At 35.4% G+C, this 22,917-nt stretch overlaps 1 long non-coding RNA gene across 1 annotated transcript; it reads left to right on the forward strand.

Moving 5' to 3' along the window:
* On the forward strand, positions 241 to 15,049 carry LOC124901112 (uncharacterized). The gene is made up of 2 exons (XR_007058999.1): positions 241 to 372; positions 13,793 to 15,049. It is a non-coding gene; the product is annotated as an uncharacterized LOC124901112 (long non-coding RNA).
* The last annotated feature ends 7,868 nt before the right edge of the window (positions 15,050 to 22,917 follow it).

Here is a 22,917-nt window from a genome sequence, read left to right on the forward strand (position 1 = left end):
CGCCCAGTGCTGAGCCCGAGAATGGGCTGTACCACAGCGGCAGCGAAGGGAGGGGAAGGCGACGGAAAGGAGGCCTGCGAAAGGAGCATTAAGGAGCACACTTTTGCAGAAAGATTTTACAAGGGGGATTGAAGAGGAAGTTGGAGTGAACCTTCCTCTATTGGAAGCATGCTTCTGACGAAAGGGGAGGAATTTTAGATGGTACCATGGACGTGTTTGTGAATGGTACAGCCCCATGCCGGGAGATTCGACTGCTCAGAGGGGAAGCGTGGAATGGTGCGGTCCTCTCCAGGGAGATTTCACTGTGGGAGAGAGGGACAAAATCTGGGGGCTGAACAATCATTGTGTACTGTAATTATGCCAATAACAACGGTAAGGAATCCTTATAAGGGAATTTGATATTGCAGTAATAAGTAATAAGAGGTCGACTGAAGGAAAAAGGGAAATTAAGAGCAGGGAAGAGGAGACTGAGGCACAAAGAGAGGGAAGTGAGAAGCAGAGAATCAGAGAGAAAATGGGGGAAATGGGGACAAAGGAGCCAGCCTAGAAAGGAGGAGAGACGGGAGACTGAAGAGAAAAAAATAGACATAGGAATAGAAGTGGGGATCTAAGGGGTAGAGCGTGGTAGACAGACAGATTGAGACAGAAAAGAGACTTGAAAATTGGAACAGACATAAGGGAGAGACTGAGAAGGTTAGATTTCAGAAACAACAACAACAACATGATTTTTTAAAAATGAACCAGCCAAAGAGAATACTAAAATTGTTATCTTAACCCTTAGACCTTACATCAAGCTTTAAAAAAGCAAAATGCATGTTCACAGACCAATGTTTCATTTGTATAAATGAATACAATTTTGAATCATAATTTTCACACGAGTCATGCTTTTTGATATGTTATGAAATAGGCAGCAATTTTACATTTAGCAATTTATTTCTCATGTCAAAACAAATGCACTTAGATAAGAAGACAATGTATTCAGAAAGAACACTGTTGCATTAGGAAGAATGCTCCAATCTCAAATCTGCAAGAATCACAATATCAACAAAATGACTTTTTTTTTTTTTATAGGGAAGAGTAAGAAGGGTTAGCAGGAACTTTGTAGGGAGAAGGATATGAGATAGGGGTGTGCAGGTGGCAAAACCAGGGCATTTCTACAGAAATTGTTTCTGTTGTCATGGAATTCTGAGAATAAGCGGTTAAGGGGAGATGTTTTGAATCATAGTGCATTAGTGCAGTGTTTCAACTCAGGGGAAGCCAAAATGAAGGGGCCTGCGGGAAGGAGAGAAGTCTGACTAAAGGTTGGTCAAGACAAAGAGGATAAGAAATAGTTGGTTGTGAACACTTAACCTCTTCATCTCTATTTAGACTTCCACAGTTATATCAATATTTATTTCTTGACTTGAGCTTAAGACAGTGTAGACACTGAGTTTAGTGGTAAAGGTATATAGTAATGATTAATTCAGATACCTCACCCTCAAGGAGTGATGCCAGTGGAAGTTGTAGAGTCAGGAAAAGGCCAGACTCTACTACTATTCCTATGCGGAGAGCCTTGTAGGAATTGTAAAAACTTTAGTTCTTCATCTTAAGAATTACGGAAAGCTGTCCTTATGTAGTACCTAATTTAAAAAGAAGATGTTGAAGGAACAGGAAGCCTCCCTCATAATGAAAGGAAGAAAATTAAAGCCATAGTACAATACCATTTCCCATCTATTTGCTTATAAAATATTTTCTAAGTTTGGCAACACTGTTAGGCCATGGGAAATATCATGTGTTACTGGTGGGACAGCAAACTTACAGCCCTCTTTAGAGGGTTTGGCAATATCTAGCAAAACTACATGTATTAGTTATCTATTGCTGTGTAACAAATTACCCAAAACTTAGCAACTTGAAATTATAAATATTTATTGTCGCATAGTTTCTGTGAGTCAAGAATGGGAACAGCTGGGCTGGGTGGTTCAGGTTTAGTCTCTCGTGATGTTGCAATCAAGCCATAGGCCAGGGCTGCAATTATTTCAAGGCTCAATTGTAGGAGGATATGCTTCCAAACTCAATCAAATAGCTGTGGGCAAGCCTCAGAATATCAGTTTCCAAGCTTGCTCACATGGCTGCTTACGGGCCTCAGTTCCTCACTATGTGGGCCCTTCCTTAGGCTACCTTATTGTTTTCATGATATGGCAGGTGTCTTCCCTCTCTCTAAGGCTGCCTCATGATATGATAGCTGACTTCTGTACAGTCCAAGTGAGTCAAGGGGGAGAGAACACACACAAAACAGAAGCCACAGGCTTCTTATAACCTAAATTGGAAGTGGCATCTGATTATTTTTTCTGTATTCTGTTGGCTAGAAGTGAGGCACTCAGGCCAGCCGATAATCAAATGAATGGGAATTGAGCTCCACCTCTTAAGGAGGATTATCAAAGAATGTATGGACATATCTCTAAAACCACGGCACTACATAATTTTTACCCTATGATTCAGAAACCCCACTTGAAGAATATATCCCAAAGATACATTCTTCACAATAAAAAATAGCCAAAAGATTATTGCAAAACTGTTTTTAATACCAAAAGACAGCAGATAACACAAACATTTAAAACAGTACTATTTAGCCGTGAGAGGGGTTGGAGGAGAGAGAGGGAGGGAGAAATATCTTTCTGTACTAACATGAAGTGAATTTCAGGATATAATATTATGTATCCTGAAATTATATTAAGGATATAATATGTTAAAAACATAAAGTGGAAAAATGAAAATATTTGCTATTACCATTTTTAACGTAAAAGTGAATGAATATGTATGTATTTATTATATATGTGCATAACATATATATAAAAAGTTGCAGTGAGAAACGAATGAAGTAACCCCTTTCCCCAGTCCTTTTTATTTACAAAAGTTATGTTCTATAAAGTCATCATAAACCCTGGATTAGCAAGTACTGAACCATTGCTTCCAGGGGAAAAATAAAATTATATATATATATAAAATATTATTTTGTAAAATGAAATCCCAGCTATTATATATATATACATATACACACACACATATGTATAAACACACACATATATAGATACATATCTATCTATCTATATATATAAATCCTAAAAACAACTTATCCTGGGTATATTTTATTTTACAAAAGAGAAAATGAGGTTTAGAAGTGTTATGAACCATTGCTTCCAGGGGAAAAATAAAATTATATATATATAAAATATTATTTTGTAAAATGAAATCTCAGCTATTTTATATATATATACACACACACATATATATAAACACATATATATATAGATACATATATATATATAAAATAATCCTAAAAACAGCTTATCCTGGGTAGATTTTATTTTATTTTACAAAAGAGAAAATGAGCTTTAGAAGTGTTAATTAAGCCTAATGTCACTCCATTAACAGCTGCAGCTTCTTGTACATTACTGTGCTGCCCCTTCTGTCTCCATCCTCTGGTCTTCTCTGTATGAGAGGTGAAACAAGAAGCCAGAGTATTGCCTTGTTCTAACTCAACTGAGAATGTGCACATGAGGTGACACATTTTTGCTACTCTGTGTGTGTCTGCAAATAATTGCAAAAGTGCTGTCAGTATTGATTTTGGGGTTATAAATGGATTTTAGCAAGTAGGTGAATTTGCAGATGCAGAATTTGTGAATAATGAAGATCAACTAAATATATACTTACCTTAAAAATTAAAAATGAATAATGGAAAAATAAATCATCAAATAAAACATTATCTATAAAGGGTGTTATTATCAATGAAAATGTAGCAAATAACCCCAAAATGTAGTGGCATAAAAATGCACATTTGTTGTCTCACAGTTTCTGTGGGTCAGGAAGATGACATAAATTATCTAGGTTCTCTGTTTAAGGTCTCTCACAAATCTATAATCAAGTTATCATCCAAGGATAGGGTTTCATCTGAAGGCTCAGTTGGAGAAAGATCCACTTCCAAGCTCAATTGTATGATTTTGGGAGGATTCAGTGCCTCAAGAATTATTGAACTGAGAGTATTCACTTCTTTGATAGCTGCTGGCTAGAAGCCACTCACAGTGCCTTGCCATGCAGAACTCTCTAACATGGAAACTTGCTGATTTAAGGAGGCAAGAGAAAGAGTCTATAAGGGAGATGGTAGTCACAATCTTTTATAATCTAATCATGAGATGATATCCCCTCAATGTTGCCATATTCTATTGGTTAGAAGCTACTTACTTATATGGAAGTGATTACACAAGGTCATGAATACCAGGAGGTGGGGATCATTGGTGGTCATCTTAGACACTTCCTGAGAAGGAAATAAGACAGAGGGGATATAAATATTACCCACTGTCCTTTGAATGTACCATGTCCTGTTTATTTTACTTGAGAACCACAAAAAATTTACATAATTGTAAAACAAAATAAATTTTAGAAAATAATTCCAAACTTCTGCTTCTGGCAAAGATAAAATAACAGGGAATGAATGCAGACGTGTATTGGTCCATTTTCACACTGCTGATAAAGACATACCCGAGACTTGGTAATTTATAAAGAAATTACCAAAAGTAAAGTTTAATAAAGAAAAAGAGGTTTAATTGACTCACAGTTCCACGTGGCTGAGGAGGCCTCACAATCATGGTGGTAGGTGAAAGGCACATCTTACATGGTGGCAGACAAGAGAGAAGTGAGAGCCAAGCGAAAGGGGTTTCCCCTTATAAAACCATCAGATCTCATGAGACTTATTCACTACCACAAGAACAGTATGGGGGAAACCGCCCCCATGATTCAATTTTCTCCCACTGGGTCCTTCCCACAACACATGGGAATTATGGGAGCTACAATTCAAGATGAGATTTGGGTGGAGACACAGCCGAACCATATCAACACTTATAACTGAAATGACTTTAAAAACAGACAACTATATGAAACAATAGTTTTAAGATATTAGACATCAGGCAGTAAAGGATGGCAATCCTTGAGAGATGAGAAACAAATGAAGTGACCCAGTTTACTTCCTTGAGAAAATTTCCAGGACAAACACAAGAAAAGGAGCCCAGGCAGACAACAGCAGACTCTCAGAGTTAAGCAGAAATAACTAAGAATCTGTGGAGACCAGGGCAAAGGACAAAAAAAATTGAAAGATGCTCAGAGAGAGAACTCCAGATATTTGCAGAGTATTCAGCAGAGTATTGATTAGTGCATGTATGTAAAGAAACTACCAGAACCTGGGAAAAGAAATACCTGAAAGAATAAGAGAAAACAATTGGAGTTTATTTTTAAAGCCAAGATTCATGCCTGTTCCTGCCAGACAGAGTGGAAAACTTTACAATTCTTGAAGTACTGGGAAGAGTGTGCAGAATGATGTTGCCTCAGTAGTGGGGAATTATTAGCTCTAGATTAAAATCTTGCTCTCGTGCCACCTAATAAATCAGACCTGAAAGGATCAAAGCATTCCCAAGTAACTTAACAAAACTGCAGAACAATGGTTCAAAAATATATATTAGAACACAAAATTATCTAGCATTCAACAAAGTAAAATTTACTATATCTGGCATCAAATCAAGAATTATCAGGCATGTGTAGACTTAATGTTTTCCCCGTTAGGTCAGGAACAAGGCAAGAGTATTCACTCTCATCACACATTTGACATAGTACTGGGAATTCTGCCCGATAAAATAACACAAGAAAACAAAATTACAAGCATAAACATACAGATCAGAACGGGAAGAAATAAAAGTGTCTATATATGTGCATGATATGAATGATTTGCTATGTAGAAATGCAAAGGATTTTATAAGAAATGCCTAGAACTGGAGTGATGTCAAAATATGGCAGAATAGGACACTCCTGACTATCCCTCCTCCCCAGATGCCCAAATAGACACCTACACATGGATCAATTACCTTCCAAAGAAAGCCAGAACTAGTTGAAAGACCCCCGTGCACTGAAGAATTAAGAAAATATCCACATTGAAGTGAGTAGGAAAAGCAGAGAAAGACTCATGCACAAACTCCACCCTGAGCACACCACTTTAGGATTCCCATCTCCTAGGTTTTTCCTGAGGAGTGAAGGGTTCCTACAACACATATGGTACCCCAGCTTTTATGATCCCTGCCAGCAGGTTTGGCTCTTAAATCACCTTGCATGGAGAGCAGCAGGGATTTGGCATTGGATAATTTCTTTGAAGCACAAAGATCACAGAAGTGGTTTTGAATCATGCAAACACTCTCAGCAGCTGTAGCTCCTGGGTTCAGTCCAGCTTCTGGCTTCTTTCTGGAAGGAGTTTGCACACTTCCCAAGCACCACCCTGAGGTCTGGTTTCTGACTAGCCTGCACATGGGAGCTTATGTGGCAAATAAAGAATAAACCTCCTCCAGCCTCAATGGGAAGGACAGCACTCCTGTGCCTTCCACCTCAGCTTACAACAGCAATAAATCCAGGTCTGCAGACTCTCCCTGAAGGGAGGTTGTGAGACTTTTGCAAGCTTGAACAAGAGAGTGAGTAATCCTCCACATTTTCTCTACTGGCATGCTACAGCAAAAAATCCAGGTCTGAAGACTTTCCCTAGAAAGAATTTCTGCATGCATCAAGTGCCCCAAAGCGCAGTCTGAATGAGAGTGCAAGCATCCGTCACAGAACCTCTTGGTTTAAATCAGAATGAATGAGAGCGAAAATGTGGCTCTCAGTTTCTCCCTGAGGAAAGAAGTAACTGTAACACATATCTGACACCCCAGTTCTCCAAGCTGCATTTTGAGAAACTGGCTTTTATTTCACCTTTCTCAGGGCACTAGCATGACTTGGACCACTCTAATTTCCTGGAAGCTATTGAGAACAAAATCAGTGAGTTGGATAAGCTCAAAGGGTTGAGAGGCACTTAGAATCTCTGGCTGGGCTGATTGGTGAGGACCATCTCCTGCATGAGTCTAGTATAACAAGATTGGGAGAGGTAGTTGTTGTATCTAATATACAGAAACCATCATAGAGAGTCAAAGAAAATGAAAAAACAAGAATTTTTTTTCCAAATAAAAGAACAATATAAATCCCCAGAAGCCAACCCTAATGAAATGGACATATGTGATTTATCTGACAGGGAATCAATAAACAGTCATAAATATGCTTATTGAGATCAAGACAGCAATGCATGAACAAACTTAGAATTTTAACAAAGAGAAATAATTTTAAAGTTACAAAACAGAAATTATAGAGCTGAAGAACACAGTAACTGGACTAAAAAATTCAATAGAAGGGTTCAATAACAGACTATATCAAGTGAAAGAAATTACTTATGAGCTGGAAGACAGGTCATTGGAAATCATCTCATCTAAAAAGAAAGAATAAATGAATGAAAAAAGTCAAGACAGTTTAACGAACTTTTGGAAAACCAGCAAGCAGAAAAATATACACAATCCAAGTACCTGAAGTAGGAGAGACAGAAAAAGACAGAAAACATTAAAAGAAATAAAGGAAGAAAAATTTCAAAGCCTGGAAAGGGGAAGAGAAATCCATAACCAAGAAGATCAGATGGGTAGAATACCAGATAAGATGAATCCAAAAAGTTCCATGCCAAGACACATTATGTCAAATTCTCAAAAGCTAAAAACAGAAATTTGATAGCAGCAAGGAAAAAGTGACTTGTTACATACAAGGAACTGCAATAAGACTACTAGAATATTTTTCAGCGGAAACTTTCCAGATGAGAAAAGAGCAGGATGATATATTCAAAACACTAAAAAGAACCTCACAAAATATGATAGCCAGCAATCCTGTCATTCAAAAATGAAAGTGAGATAAAAACTTTCTCTGACAAAGCTGAGGTTTTACAGATATCTAAGGGAAAATACAAAAATATAGTAATCAACTAAGTGCTAATACATTAGATAACTTAGATGAACAAATTTATGGAAAGACACAGACTACCAAAATTCACTTAATAAGAAGTAGATAAACTGAAGACCCATGTATCAGTTTTTAAAAACTGATTTGTAGTTTTGTAGTTAAACATGTTCCCACAAAGAAAACTCAGGCCAACACAGATTCACTGGTGAATGATACCAAACATGTAAGGAAGAAATAATGCAAATTCTTCATGAATTCTTTCAGAACATTAAAGAGGAGGAGATATTTCTCAAGTCATTCTATGAGGCAAGCATTACCTATACCAAAAGCTGATAAAGACATTTGAAGAGAGAACTACAGACCATTATCCTTCATGAACAAAGACACAAAAATTTTAAACTAAATTTCAACAAAACAAATGTAGCAATATATAAAAATAAAAAGACATCATAACCAAGTGCAGTTTATAGCAGAAATGCAACAATCCTTTAACACTAGAAAATCCTTCAGTATATTTCACTGTATTAAACTATAAAATACAATCTTTGTGATTATCTCACTAGATATAGGAAGAGCATTTGGCAATATCCAACAACACTTCCTGATTTGAGAATAAAAGGAAATTTTATAAATTGAAACTAAAAGGGAGTTTCCTAAACTTAATAAAGGTAATTTTTAAAAACCTATGAGAAACATCATATGTAATATTAAAAGACTGAGAGCTTTTCACCTAAAATTGGAGCAAGGTGAGGAAGTCCACTCCATGACTTCTTCTACATTGTACTGGAAGTTCTAGTCAGTGCAATAGGCCAAAAAATAAAAAAAGTGTGTACAGTTTGGAAAGGAAATAGTAAAACCATCTTTATTTGCAGATAATGTGATCTATGTAGAAAATCTGATGTATTCTACAAAAAAAGATACTAGACTTAATCAGTGAGTTTAGCAAGGTTGAAGTACACTAAATCAAAAAATATCAGATTTATTTCCATATACTATCAATAAACAAAAAGATATTAAAGTCTTTAAAACATGCATAATAGAATTTTTAAACATATGAAATGCTTGGGGGCAAATATATCAGAAGATGTAAAACACCTGTACACTGAAAACTACAAAACATTGCTGATAGAAATGGAAGGAGAATTGTGACATGTTCATGTAAACAAGACTCATTATTGTTACAATGTCAGTCTCCTCAGATTGATTTATAGGTTCAGTGCATCTATTCAAAATTGCACAAGCTTTTGAGTAGAAATTGACAAGCTGATTTTTCAAATTTATATACAAATGAAAATGATCTAGAATAGCCAAAATAACATGACCAAAAGAAAATATTTGACGCCTAACACTACTTGATCACAAGACATACACACAGCTATGGTAATCAAGACAGTGTGGTATTATTGTAAGGATGGACATACGAATCAATAAAGCAGAATAGATAGTGCGGGGTCCAACCTGCAGACTCTGACCCAGTGACAGATGAAAGATGTACACTGACAAAGATATTTTGCCTATCAGTGTGGCTAAGGGTCTCTGCTACCTGAATCTGCAGCCTCGCCCTGATAAGCTGGCGAAGTTTGCATTTATTTAGTACAGATTAACTGACAAAGGTCTGGAGTAAACACCACTAGAGGGTAATTAACATTGCCAACCCCCTGAGCAGAGAGCACATGCGGATGACCAAAGGTTGGTCTTAGGACCATATGAGTAAACAAGCTATTTAGATAAACTTCCCCACATTCCGTTGTTATTTGCTCTTTTGCTATCAACTCATGGTAAAAAGGATTAGGCTGCCTTTAGCCAAATCTTACTGAAGCTATGCAACCCCTCCAGCCTTCCAAGAAGGTTTGTGTCTGTTTCCTATAACTATCTTTACAATTTTTCTAGCCACTTTGACTGATCTCCTACATCTCCCCCTTTTCTGTTTTCTGTATCAGGCTTTATTGATTGAAGAGGGCAGATGTGTGCAGCAACAGGTCTGTGAGGTGTGGCAGTCACTGCTCTTATTCTGGCTTTGCATCCTAGAATTAGTAAATAACAAGACAAACATAAGTATAATCAGCAACATTCTTTTCCAATCAAGGAGAGACCCCCAGGAGTGGGGGTCTATCCAAGAGAGATGATCTCACACACCCTTCCATATGGCTGTTTGTTGGGTGTGTAGATCTAAGGTGTGAAGGGATTCTAAAATTTTAGTTTTAAGTTGCCTTACATCTGCTGTTAAATTGTCATGAAAGGTCAAGTTCCCAGGAGCACTCACCGGCTCCAGGTCCATGAGTTTCCTTGCTGCTTTCCCTTCTGCCTACCACCTGCTTGGCTGCATGGCTCCGGCTTCTAATGTTTTTTCTTATCTTTATATAAGCGTTAAAAGAAGTGGGTTTATATATCTGATTGCCTTGTCAATCTTGCATTACCAGGCAGACTAAGAGCTCCCCTTCTAATGCTGCTTGCCTAAGACATGGTCCCATAGCTGTAGCATATCCCTTGTCTTTTCTCCTATCTATTGGACGAGGGGTCTCACACAAAACCTCTGTTTCCTCTTTGTTATTTTGGCCTGGTGATCGTGGGACTGAAGGACAAGGAGGCGGTAAAGTAGGTGACAGTTCTTCCTCCTTCCCTTTTTTAGGCTCTTCTGTGTATAATGGGATGAAAGTCACCCTTACTAGAGCCCATAGCCTTAGAGATGATACTGTGACCCATTGCCCTTGCTCATGATATTGGTTAAGATTTCTCCCCACTTGTTCCCAGAGCTCTATGCCTATTGTTGTGCCTTCTTCTGGGAACCACGGGTTATGGAATACAACAGTTTGCATTAGGTCCCTTAATTGAGCCTGTGAAACCGAGGCTCCACTAGCTTTAAGTAGCTGTTTCAATACTTTTATATACTGTATCTGTTGAGCTGATAACTGTAGTCCCATGATGAAACCCTGGCCTGAACAATCCCCCCCGAACTTGGAAATCCTGAGTGGGCACCAATGACTTACTGACTCACTGACTGCGCAGTCCTTTTCACCTTCATTTTCAAGGGATCCATTGTGATCCTTTTGCAGTGTTCCTCTCAGGGGGCACCACCTGCCAGGATCTGACCCACAGACCCTGACCCGACGGATGAAAGATGTACACTGACACATATTTTGCCTGTCAGTGCGGCTAAGGGGCTCTGCTGCCTGAATCTGCAGTCTCAGCCACGATAAGCCAGCAAAGTTTGCATTTATTTAGTACAGATTAAATGACAAGTCTCAAGTAAACACCACTAGAAGGTAATTAACATTGCTGACCCCCGAATAGAGAGCAATCATGCACCTGCGGATGATCAAAGGTTGGTCTTAGGACCACATAAGTAAACAAACTATTTAGATAAACTCCCCCACATTCCCTTGTTATTTGCTCTTTTGCTATCAACTCATGGTAAAGAGGATTAGGCTGCCTTCAGCCAAATCTTTCTGAAGCTATGCAATGCCTCCGGCCTTCCAAGAAGGTTTGTGTCTATTTCCTGTAACTATCTTTATGATTTTTCTAACCACTTTGACCGATTCCCTACAAGATAGTTCAGAAATGGATCCAACTGATAAAATGACAACAAGTTTTCAACAAAAGCATGACTAAGATTGTAAATTTATGTTATGCGTATTTTACCACAATTAATTTCTTAAGTGCCTGCTAAAACATATCATTAGATAAAAGTCCAAAGTATGATGAAATAAATTTTAAGATTGCACATACACTTACTATTTGATAAATCTCAGTGAGCCAAACTTCTGCTTATGAAACATCCATTTTTATTATATTATTATTATTATTGTTGTTTTGAGATGGAATCTCACTATGTCACCCAGGCTGGAGTGCAGTGGCACAATCTTGCCCCACTGCAACCTCCACCTCCTGGGTTCAAGTGATTCTCCCACCTCAGACTCCCAAGTAGCTGGGACTACAAACATGTGCCACCATGCCCATGTAATTTTTTTATTTTTAGTACAGACAAAGTTTCACCATGTTGGCCAGGCTGGTCTCGAACTCCTGGTCTCAAGTGATCTGCCTGCCTCAGCCTTGCAAAGTGCTGCGACTACAGGTTTGAGCCACTGTACCTGGCCTAGTAAGTGTATTTATTAAGGTATAAGACTAGAATACAGGCCAATAAAAATATGAACTATATTTCTATATATTGCAATGAATAATTGAAAACTAAAATTATCTTAAAAACTACCATATGATCAGTGAAAGAGGAATAAAATTAACATGTACAAAAATCTACAATAAAAGCTATTGTATTCATTACTGAAATTTATTAAGCATTAAAATTAAAAAATTAAATGGAAAGATATATCAATTTCTTTCTTTTTTGAGATAAGGTCTTGATCTGTTGCCTAGGTTGGAGTGCAGTGGCAAGATCAAAGCTCACTGCAGCCTTTAACTCCTGGGCTCAGGCAATGCTCCCACCTCAGTCTCCCGAATAGCTGGGACTGTAGGCACATGCCCTCATGTCTGGCTGGCTAATTTTTGTATTTTTTTTGTAGAGAAATAGCTCCAGAAATCTGCACATGACCAAATCCTAAGCTGTGCATGTTTACTGTGAAAATCCACAAAGCCAGGAAATAGAACATCTGTCAGCAGAAGAACAACTACCAGCTACATGGTCCAGCTAATTTTTGTATTTTTTTGTAAAGATGAGGTCTTTCTTTGTTGTCCAAGCTGCTCACAAACTCCTGGGCTCAAGCAATCCTCTCACCTCAGCCTCCCACAGTGCCTGGATTACAGGTGTAAACCACCATGCCTGGCTTTCAGTTTCATTGATTAGAAAACTTATTGTTAAGTTATTGATTCTCCTCAATTGTTCTATAGATTCAACAAAACCCATTAACATTCCAACAGGACTTTTTTTTTTTTTTTTTAGAAACTGGCAAGTTCATTCTAAAATGTATATGAAAATGCAACAAGCCTTAGCAGAAGCAATCAGGAAGAACAAAGTTGTGAGATGTACCTTACCTGATTTCAAGACTTACCATAAAGCTACATTTATTAGCCTGGTATAGGCATATATATTTTTCCATTCATATGAAGTTCTAGAACATGCATAATTAACTTATGATGAAAGAAATCAGAACAAACAACAGTGATTGCTTCAAGAGTGAGGACACACTAGATTAGGAAATTTCTGGTGTAATGGAAGTAGTCTATATTTTGATAAGAATGTGGGTTACACTAGTTTATGCATGTTTTAAAACTTATCAAACTGTAAACTTAAGACATGTAGTATTTCATTTTGTGTTGTTTGCCACAACAAAGACAAAAAAATGAGGTGACAAATCAAAGTGATTATGTGAAACAACAGAGATTTAAAGTCTTGTAAGAAAATTAAATGTAAATGATGTAACTTACATAACATCCTTTAATTATACTCAATGTGTTCCTTCTATATTCTGGTCTTTGAGAAAAGGATTAAGTAACATAGTCCCTTGTATTATCAATTAGGGTTTTAGAGTTTTAAAGCAATTGGATTATTTGTAAAAGTTGCTTTAATATCTATATTTGTTGGATATTTTTATCTTTCTCTGTGGAGTCTGTCTTCAGATTTATAGTCTACATTCCATTGGTTTGTACCAGAGATTTCGTTTCTTGTCCAGGTGTCTTGAATCATATACATTACAAAAAGACACAATGGCTTTTACTGTCTTTTTAATGTTCAGATATCTAATCCATCCAATGATGGATTTACAATGTCACTGCAAAGGAAATCGGGTCAAGCAGCAGGTAACCCTTCCAGCCTTCTCCAAACAGCTTCCAAAGTCTGTTTTAATTTCATTTTAAATCAGTTATGGCAGTGCTTTGAGTACACCAATATATGCTTGTTTGATCTTTCCTCTCCTTCCTTTAGGAAATCTCTTTTTGGTCACACTGGTACCCTTTACATGTGCTGTTGCTCTTGCCTTTGCTGTGACTCATACTAGAAATAGCCAATTTTTTTACTCAGGGTTTGAGAGGACGGTGAAAATGACATCAACTTCCTCAGCAACTTAATTATCTTACATTGGAATCAGAGACTCATATCACCATGGAAACTCAGAATCACAGAACCATAGAATCTTTGCTGCTAAGAGCACCCACAGAGTACAATTTCTCTTCGTAACTTGAAGTTGTAAAGGATCCTTGCCTGAAAATGGAGACTGTTAACTCATTTTATCTCTTGATTAGAAATACAGAGGAATTTGTTGTCACACAAAGGATAAGCATGCTGAAATTTGTTGATCACTGGTATTTAAAGTGAAATAATTGTTATATGTTGCTGATTAATTTTTCCTTTTATCACTAGTAATTTTTTGCCATAAAGTCTATTTCATATGTATAATTATAGTAAAACTAGTTTTCTTTTGATCAGTGTCAGAATAATATGTGTTGTTATATTTGGCATGTATTTGGTGTAAACATTATTTTAAAAATTCATTCTAAAAATCTTTGCCTTTTTCCACATTCGCTTAGTGAAATTCTAATATATTTGGTTTGAAATCTACATTTTTAATGTTTGTTCTTTATTTCTTGGTCCTGTTGTGTGTTCCTTTTCCACCTTATTTGAATTGACTGGATTTTAAAAAATTAATTCCATTGTTCTCTATTGGCTTTTTAATTTTACATTCTACTGATTTTTAGTTATTTCTCTAGAAACTGTAATATCCATACTTAATCTACACAACTCTAATAAAAATTAGTACTTTTATTATTGCTATTTTATACAAACAATACTCATTTAGCTTCATCTACAGCTTTACTCTTTGATTTTTATTTTTTCCTATATCTCAAAGTTTCTTTCTCAGATCATTTTCCTTCTGCTTCAAGAGTTTTTTTTAAATATTAACTGACTTAGAATAAAAAACATATAATTAAATTGTACAGTTTAATGAGTTTTGAAACATGTATATACTTGTGACATAATCACCACAATCAAGATAATAAACATATCCATAACCTCCCTTTATAATCCTTCTTTTCACTCTATCCCAAATGTATTCCCAGGAAGTCATTGATGTACTTTCTGTCACTATCAGTGTTTTGCATTTTCTGGAATTTCCATAAATGGAACTGTACAGTACGTATTTTTGGCTTGTTTCTTTCACTTAGCATAATCATTTTTAGCTTCTTTGTTGTGTATCTATTTTGTTTATTTACCTGTTGATAAATATTCGGATTGTTTCCAATTTGGAGCTATTACAAATAAAGCTGCTGTGAAAACTGATATATGAGTCTTTTTATAAGCATATGCGTTTTTTTCCTCTCAGGTAAACACCTAGGAGTGAAATGGTTAGGTGATATAGTAGAAAGATGCTTAACTTCTTTCTAAAATGCCAAACTGTTTAAAAAGTGATCATACTTCTCCTTTCCAACCACAATGTATGAGAGTTCCCTCTATCCTATAACAACAAAGAAGTGTGAGTGAGCTCTCTAAGCTCCCTGCTCCCCACTACCTACTGGCAGCAGGGTCCAGCAAAATAGAGGGAGAAAAATATTTTACCCCAACTCAGTGGCAACAAGACAAATGCAAACCAGTTTCTTACATTCTCCAGGAAGATATCAGTGAGACCAAGGCACAATATGAACTTCCACCTCATTCATCTGCAAAGAAGCAGTGTCAGTCAGTGCCCACTTTGCAAAAATGGTGTCATAAGGGCTCATAAGAAAACTGAAGATACATACACACTCAATCCTCACATTGCATCTCATCAGAGAGAATACTTGTGAAAGAAAAACTGAATAGGACCCAGACTCTCATAAATATCTCCAAAATGTCCTGAATATTACAGTAAGTCACTCATACCAAGAACCAGAAAAATAACATGAATGAGAAAAGACAAGAAACAGAGACCAATACTGAGATAAACATAATGTTGGAATATTTATTTTTAACATAATTGTTTTTAAATCTAAGGATTTTTATGTAGCCATCATAAAAGTGTTTCAAGAAGCAATTATGAATTCTCTTAAAACAAATGCAAAAATAGAAACAGCAAGGAAGTAAAATTCTTTTCTAAAGAAACAAATGGACATTATAGAACTGAAAAATAATTATGACCAAAATGAAAAATTAACTACATGGATTCAGTACTAGACTGGAGATGACAGAGGATAGAAACAGTGAACTTGGGGACAGATCAATAGAATTTACCCAATATGAACAAAACAGATAAAAAATAGACTTAAAGGAACTAACAAAGACAGGCATCCGGGAAAATACTAAAATAATTAGTATCATTAAAGTACCAGGAAAGGAGAAAGATACTGGATTAAAAAACCATTCAAAGAAATACAGCTAGAAATTTCCCAAATTTGGTGAAAGACATAAACCTAAATATTCAAAATGTTGAGTGAACCCCAAGTAGGATAAACCTAAAGAAATCCATGCCAAGAAACATCATAATTAAACTTCTGAAAACTGCAAGAAAAATATCTTGAAAGTAGCCAGAGACAAATGACACATTACTTATAGGAGAGCACCAATTCTAATGACAGCAGATTCCTCATATGAAATCATGATGGTCAGAGGAAGAGGCCCATTTTCAGGTGTGAAAGAAAACTTTCTGCCTTAAATTTATTATCCGGCAAAAATATCATTTAGGAATGAAGAAAAATAAAGATACTCTCTGATAACGGAAAACTAAGAGAATTTGTTGTTAGCAAACCTACCCTTCAAGAATGGCTAAAGAAAATTACCTAAATAGAAAGGAAATTATTTTTTTAAATTTGGAACTTTAGAAAAGAACACTAGGATGGATAAAATAAGGTTAAATATAATAGGCTATAATACAGCTTATGAGTTTCTTAAATCATATTTGAAGGTTGAGGCAAAGACATAATCTTACATGGTACAGAATACATGTAGACAAAATAAATAATTACATTTTTAAGGGGGAGGGTAAACAACTAAAAAGAAATAAGATTATATAATTCACTCTAGTAAAATGTCAATAGCAGATTGTGAGAAGTTATGTATGTATATTATAATACCTAGAACAACCACTGAGAAAACTATACAAAACTATATACTTAAAAACACTATAAACAAATCAAGTTAGAATCCTAAAAATTTAATATATACAGAAGAATGAAGGAAAGCAGAAACAGGAACAAGAAACAAACAAAAAATAATAAAATGCAAAATTAGGCTTACCAAATCAATAATTACCTTAAATGAAAATAATCTAAATACACCAATTAAATGAGAGAGATTGACAGAGTGGGAAAAAATATGACCCCAAAATATACTGTCTACAGGAAACTCAATTCAAATAAAATATCATAGGTAGGTTAAAAGTAACAGGACAAAAATTCCATGAAAACATTAGTCAAAGGGCAGAAAGGGGTGGCTATATTAATGAAGTAGACTTCAAGAAAGGAAAAAAAATCTAGAGACAAAGAAATGAATTACATAACATAAAAGAATAAATTCATTGGGAATATATAACAATATTAAATGTGTATGCACCAAACAACATTCTTAAAACACATGAGGTAAAAGCTGATAGAAGTGAAAGAAGAAATATAAACAGGATACAACTGACAAATGTAGAGCACTACACATAATAGCAGAATACACTTTTTTTCAAGAATTCATAGGACATTCACTCAAACATCCATGAAACACTCACCAAGAAAGCCCATATCCTGGATGCTAAAACAAACCACAGCACATTTAAACAACTGAAATCCTGCAGAGTTTGTCTTCTAACAATAATAGGACCAAAGTAGAAATTAATAACAGACAAAAGAAAGATCTCAAAATATTTTGATACTAAACAACAAGTTTCTAAATAATTCATTGTCAAAAATAAATCTCAAAGACAATTAATAAAATACATAAAAATGAAAACACTCCATATCAAAATCTGTGGCATGCAGCTAAAGTAGTGCAGAGATGGAGGTTTTATACACTAAAAACTTGCTTTAGAAAAAAGGAAAAGTCTCAGTAGAATACTCTAAACACCTACCTCAAGAAACTAGAAAAAAATAGAAAAATAACTCAAAGTATGAAAAAGAAAGTAAATGAGGTGAAGAGGGCCAGGCATGGTGGTTCACACCTATAATCCCAGCATGTTGGGAGGCTAAGGTGGGTGAATCATCTGAGGTTAGGAGTTTGAGACCAGCCTGACCAACATGGCAAAACACCGTCTCTACTAAAAATACAAAAATTAGCCAGGTGTGATGGCACGGGTCTGTAATCCCAGCTACTCAGGGGGCTGAGGCAGGAGAATCACTTCAACCCAGGAGGAGGTGGAGGTTGCAAATGAGCCAAGATCATGCCACTGCACTCCAGCCTGGGTGACAGGGTGAGACTCAATCTCACACACACACAGAGAGGTGAAGAGGAAAAAACTAAAGAAAATTAATAAAACAAAAGATGAGTTCTCTAAAAATGTCAACAAACCTGATAAACATATAATTAGACAAAGATAAAAAGGGAGAAGACGCAAATAACCATTATCAGTACTAAAAGTGTGAATATCACCATAAATCCCAGTCATTAAAAGAGTGATAAAAGTATACAACAAAAAACGTCATGATCATAAATTTGATAACTTAGAAAAAATGAGCAAATTCTGCAAAATTGTTAATAATATTATCTCTTCTAGTATGTGAACATGGGAAATCTTTTATATGACTTTTCTTCTATTTCTTTCATCATTGTTTTATAGTTTTCAGTATACAGGTCTTCCAGCTTCTTGGTTAAATTTACCATTGGTATTTATTTGTTTTGTTGCTATTAATGAATGGAGTAGTTTATTAATTACCTTTTTGGACAGTTCATTGCAAGTGTACAGAAAGGCTACTGATTTTTGTGTATTGATTTTATATACTGAAATTTTACTGAATTTGTTTATCAGTTCTAACAGCTTTTTGGAGGCATCTTTTGCATATTCTGTATATAAGATTATGTCAATACACAGGGATAGTTTAACTTCTTTCTTTTCCATTTGAATGCCTTTTATTTATTTCTCTTGCCTAACTGCTGTGGCTAGGACTTGCAGTAATATGTTCAATAGTGGTAAAGGTAGGTATCCTTGTCTTGTCTCTGGTCTCAGAGGAAAAGCTTTCAACTCTTCACCATTGAATATAATGCTAGCTATGGGTTTCTGTATATTGCCTTTTTTGTTTTGAAGTATATTGCCTCTATACCTAATCTGTTGGGAGTTTTTTAAATCATTAAACGGTGTTGAACTTGTCAAATGTGTTCTCTGCCTCTATGGAGGTGATCCTAGGGTTTTTTTATCTTTCACTTTGCTGATACAGTATATCACCTTTATAGATAGGTGTATATTGAATCATACTTGCATTCCAAAGATAAATTTTACTTCATCATGGTGAATAACTTTTTTGGTGTGTTGTTGAATTTGATTTACTAGTATTTTATTGAGGATTTTTGCATCTATATTCATTTGGGGATATTGCCCTGTAGTTTTCTTATACTGTTCTTATCTGGCTTTGGTATCAAGGTAATGCTAATCTCATAGAATAAATTTAGAAGTATTCCTTCCACTTTAATTTTTGGAAGAGTTTGAGAAGGATTGATATTGTTTCTTTTTTTAAAAAAAAATGTCTTGTAGAATTCATCAGAGATGCCATCATGTACTAGACTGATATGGTTTGGCTGTGTCCCTACCCAAATCTCATCTTGAATTATAGTTCCCATAATCCCCACGTGTCATGGGAGGGACCCAATGAGAGGTAATTGAATCAAGGGGGCAGTAACTCCCATGCTGTTCTTATGATAGTGAGTTCTCACAAGATCTGATGGTTTTATAAGGGGCTTTCCTACTTTTGCTTGGCCCTTCTCTATCATGCCATCATGTGAAGAAGGACATGTTTGCTTCCCCTTCCACCATGACTGTAAGTTTCCTGAGACCTCCCCAGCCATACAGAACTGTCATTCAATTAAAACTCTTTCTTTTATAAATTACCCAGTGTCAGATATTTCTTCATAGCACATTAGAATGGACTAATACATAGACTTTTCATTGATGGAAGACTTTTTTACTGATTCAGTCTCCTTATTTGTTATTGGTCTGTTCAGGCTTTCTATTTCTTAATGAGTCTGTCTTCGTAGTTGTTATGTGTCTAGGAAGTTATCCATTTCATCCAGATTATTCAATTTGTTGAAACATAGTTGTCCATAGTAATTTCGTATGATCTTCTGTATTTCTGTCCTCTCTGTTGTAATGTCTCCTCTTTTGCTTCTGATTTTATTTGAGCCTTCTTTTTTCTTAGTGAGTCTAGGTAAGGGTTTGTCTATTTTATTTTTTTAAAAAAATTTCTTAGTTTTATTAATTTTTTCTGTTTTCCTAATCTCTTTATTTCTGTGCTGATCTTTAGTGTTTCCTTCCTTCTGATCACTTTAATTTGTTCTTCTTTTTTTAGTTCCTGGAGGTGTATTGTCAAGTGATTTATTTGAGATCTATCATCTTTTTTGATATAAGCATTTATTGGTATAAGTTTCCCTCTTAGGACTGCTTCTGCCATATCCAATAAGTTTTAGGTTATCTCAAGATTTTTTTTCACATCCATTTTCATTTCATCTGTGACCCATTGGTTGTTAGAAGCATGTTGTTTAATTTCTACATATTTGAGAATTTTCCCAGATTTCTTCTGTTTAGTATTAGGGTAATGCTAGCCTCATAGAATAAGTTTGAAGTACTGTTATTGATTTCTAGTAGTATGCCATTGTGATTGAAGAAGATACTTGTTATGACTTCAATCTTCTTAAATTTGTTAAGACCTGTTTTGTGCCTAATGTATGATCTATTCTAGAAAATGTTCTGTGTACACTTAAGAAAAATGTGTATTTTATTGTTGGATGGATTGTTCTGTATATGTCTGTTAGGTTCATTTGGTCTAAAGTACAGTTTAAGTCCGATGTTTCCTTATTGATTTTCTGTCTAGATGACCTGTCTGTTGTTAAAAGTGCAGTATTGATGTCTTCTATTATTATTATATTGCAGTCTGTCTCTCTCTTCAAATCAATAGTTCCTTTTTGTATTTAAGTGCTCTGATGTTTGGTGCCTATAAATTCACAATTGTTGTAGCCTCTTGATGAATTGACCCAATCATTATCATATAAAGACTTTGTCTTTTCTTTATAATTTTAACTTAAAGTCTATCTTTTTCTGACAAGGGAATAGCTACTTCTTCTCTCTTTTGATTCCGATTTGTGTGGAATATCTTTTTCTATTCCTTCACTTTTAATATGTGCCCTTACTAGTAAAATGAGTATCTCGTAGGCAGCATATAGTTTGGTTATGTTTGTTACATCTATTCAGTCTCTCTATGTCTTTTGATTGGATAATTTAATTCATTTGCATAAGAGGTAATTATTGATAGGTAAGGACCTTCTCTTGCCATTTTATAATTTATTTTCTGGTTGCTTAGTAGATTGTTTCTTTCTTCCTCTCACTGTTTTCCATTGTGGTTTGATGGTTACCTTTGGTGGTATGCTTTTCGTACTTTCTTACTATGTTTTGTGCAACTACTATAGGTTTTTGGCTTTGGGGCTACTGTGAGGCTTTTAAAAATCTTATTCTTATAATAGTTATTTTAAGCTGATAACAACTTAACTTTAATTGTATACAAAAATCTCTAGATTAATTTCCAAAACATCTTTTATGATATTGATGTCAAATTTTACATCTTTTTGTAATTTGTATTTCTTAACAACGTATTGTAGCTACAGTTTTTAAAATAGTTTTATCCTGTAACCCTCATAGCAGAGATAAAATTGCTTTACTCACCACCCTTACAGTATTAGCGTATTCTGAATATTGATTATATTACTTATACCATTGAGGTCTTTTTACTTTTCTATGTTTTGTGTTATTCATTTGCAGTCTTTTATTTCAGCTTAATGAAAAAAAATCCCTTTAGCAGTTTCTTTAAGGCAAGCCTAGTGGTGATGAAATACTTTAGCTTCTGTTTGTTTGAGAAAGTTATTTCTCCCCCATTTCTGAGCAACAGCTTTGTTAGGTAAAGTATCTTGATTAGTAGTTTTTTCACCCTTCAGCACATTATATATAGTCTGACTCTCTTCCCTGGCCTCCAGGCTTTCTGCTCAAAGATCTGCTGATAGCCATATTGAGACTCACTTGAGTCTACGGCCATGCCACCCTGAACGCGCCCAATCTCATCTGATCTCAGGAGACTCACTTGAATATGATGTAATTCTTATCTCTTGTTACCTTCAGAATACTTTGTCTTTGATTTTTGAAAATTTGAATATGATGTGTCCTGGTGAAATATTCTTTTGGTTGAATTTAATTGGAGGCCACTGTTGGTGTCTTATACCTGGATGCTGTTATTATTCTCCAAATTTTGAAAAATTTCAGCCATTATTTCCTTTTTTCTACATTCTCCTTCTGAAAATTATATTGTGTGAATATTCATTCTCTTGATGGTGTCTCATAATTCCCATAAGTCTTCATGATTGTTTGAAATTCTTTTCTTTTTGTTCCTCTGACTAAATAATTTCAAATGTCTTGTCTTTAAGCTCACTGATTCTTTCTTCTGCTTGATCATGTCTTCTGTTGAAGCTTTCTACTGAATTTCTCAGTTCAGTTATTATAGTTATTATCTCCAGGATTTATATTTTTCAGCTGTTTTTATTTCTTTGTTAAATTTCTTATTTTGTTCATGAATTGTTTTCCAAATTCCATTAATATTTAGTTTGCTATCTGCATTTTCTTGTAGTTCTCTGAGCTTCTTTAAGAGGGTTATTCTAAATTTTTTATCAGTCATTTCATAGACCTCCATTTTTCAGGGTCTATTATTGAAGATGTATTAGTTTTAGTAGTGTAATATTTCCCTAATTTTTAAATAATCCTTGTGTACTTCTAAGAGTGCCTGCATTTTTGAGGAAATAACCACCTCTTACAACCTTTGCAGTTGTTCTTTGGCAGTGATAAACTTTTAGAATTTAAGCCAGCCTGGGATTCTGGATGGCCCAGCTAACAGCAAACCTGGACAGGCAGACCTTGCCACCAAGTTCTCTAAGTGTGCTGGGCTGCTGTGTGTGCTGTGAGGTGAAGTGGAACTGCTCGATGTGCTCCATCGTCTGATGGGACCACT

The sequence above is a fragment of the Homo sapiens genome, chromosome 5, assembly GCF_000001405.40.
Source record: "Homo sapiens chromosome 5, GRCh38.p14 Primary Assembly".
Taxonomy (NCBI): Eukaryota; Metazoa; Chordata; class Mammalia; order Primates; family Hominidae; genus Homo; species Homo sapiens.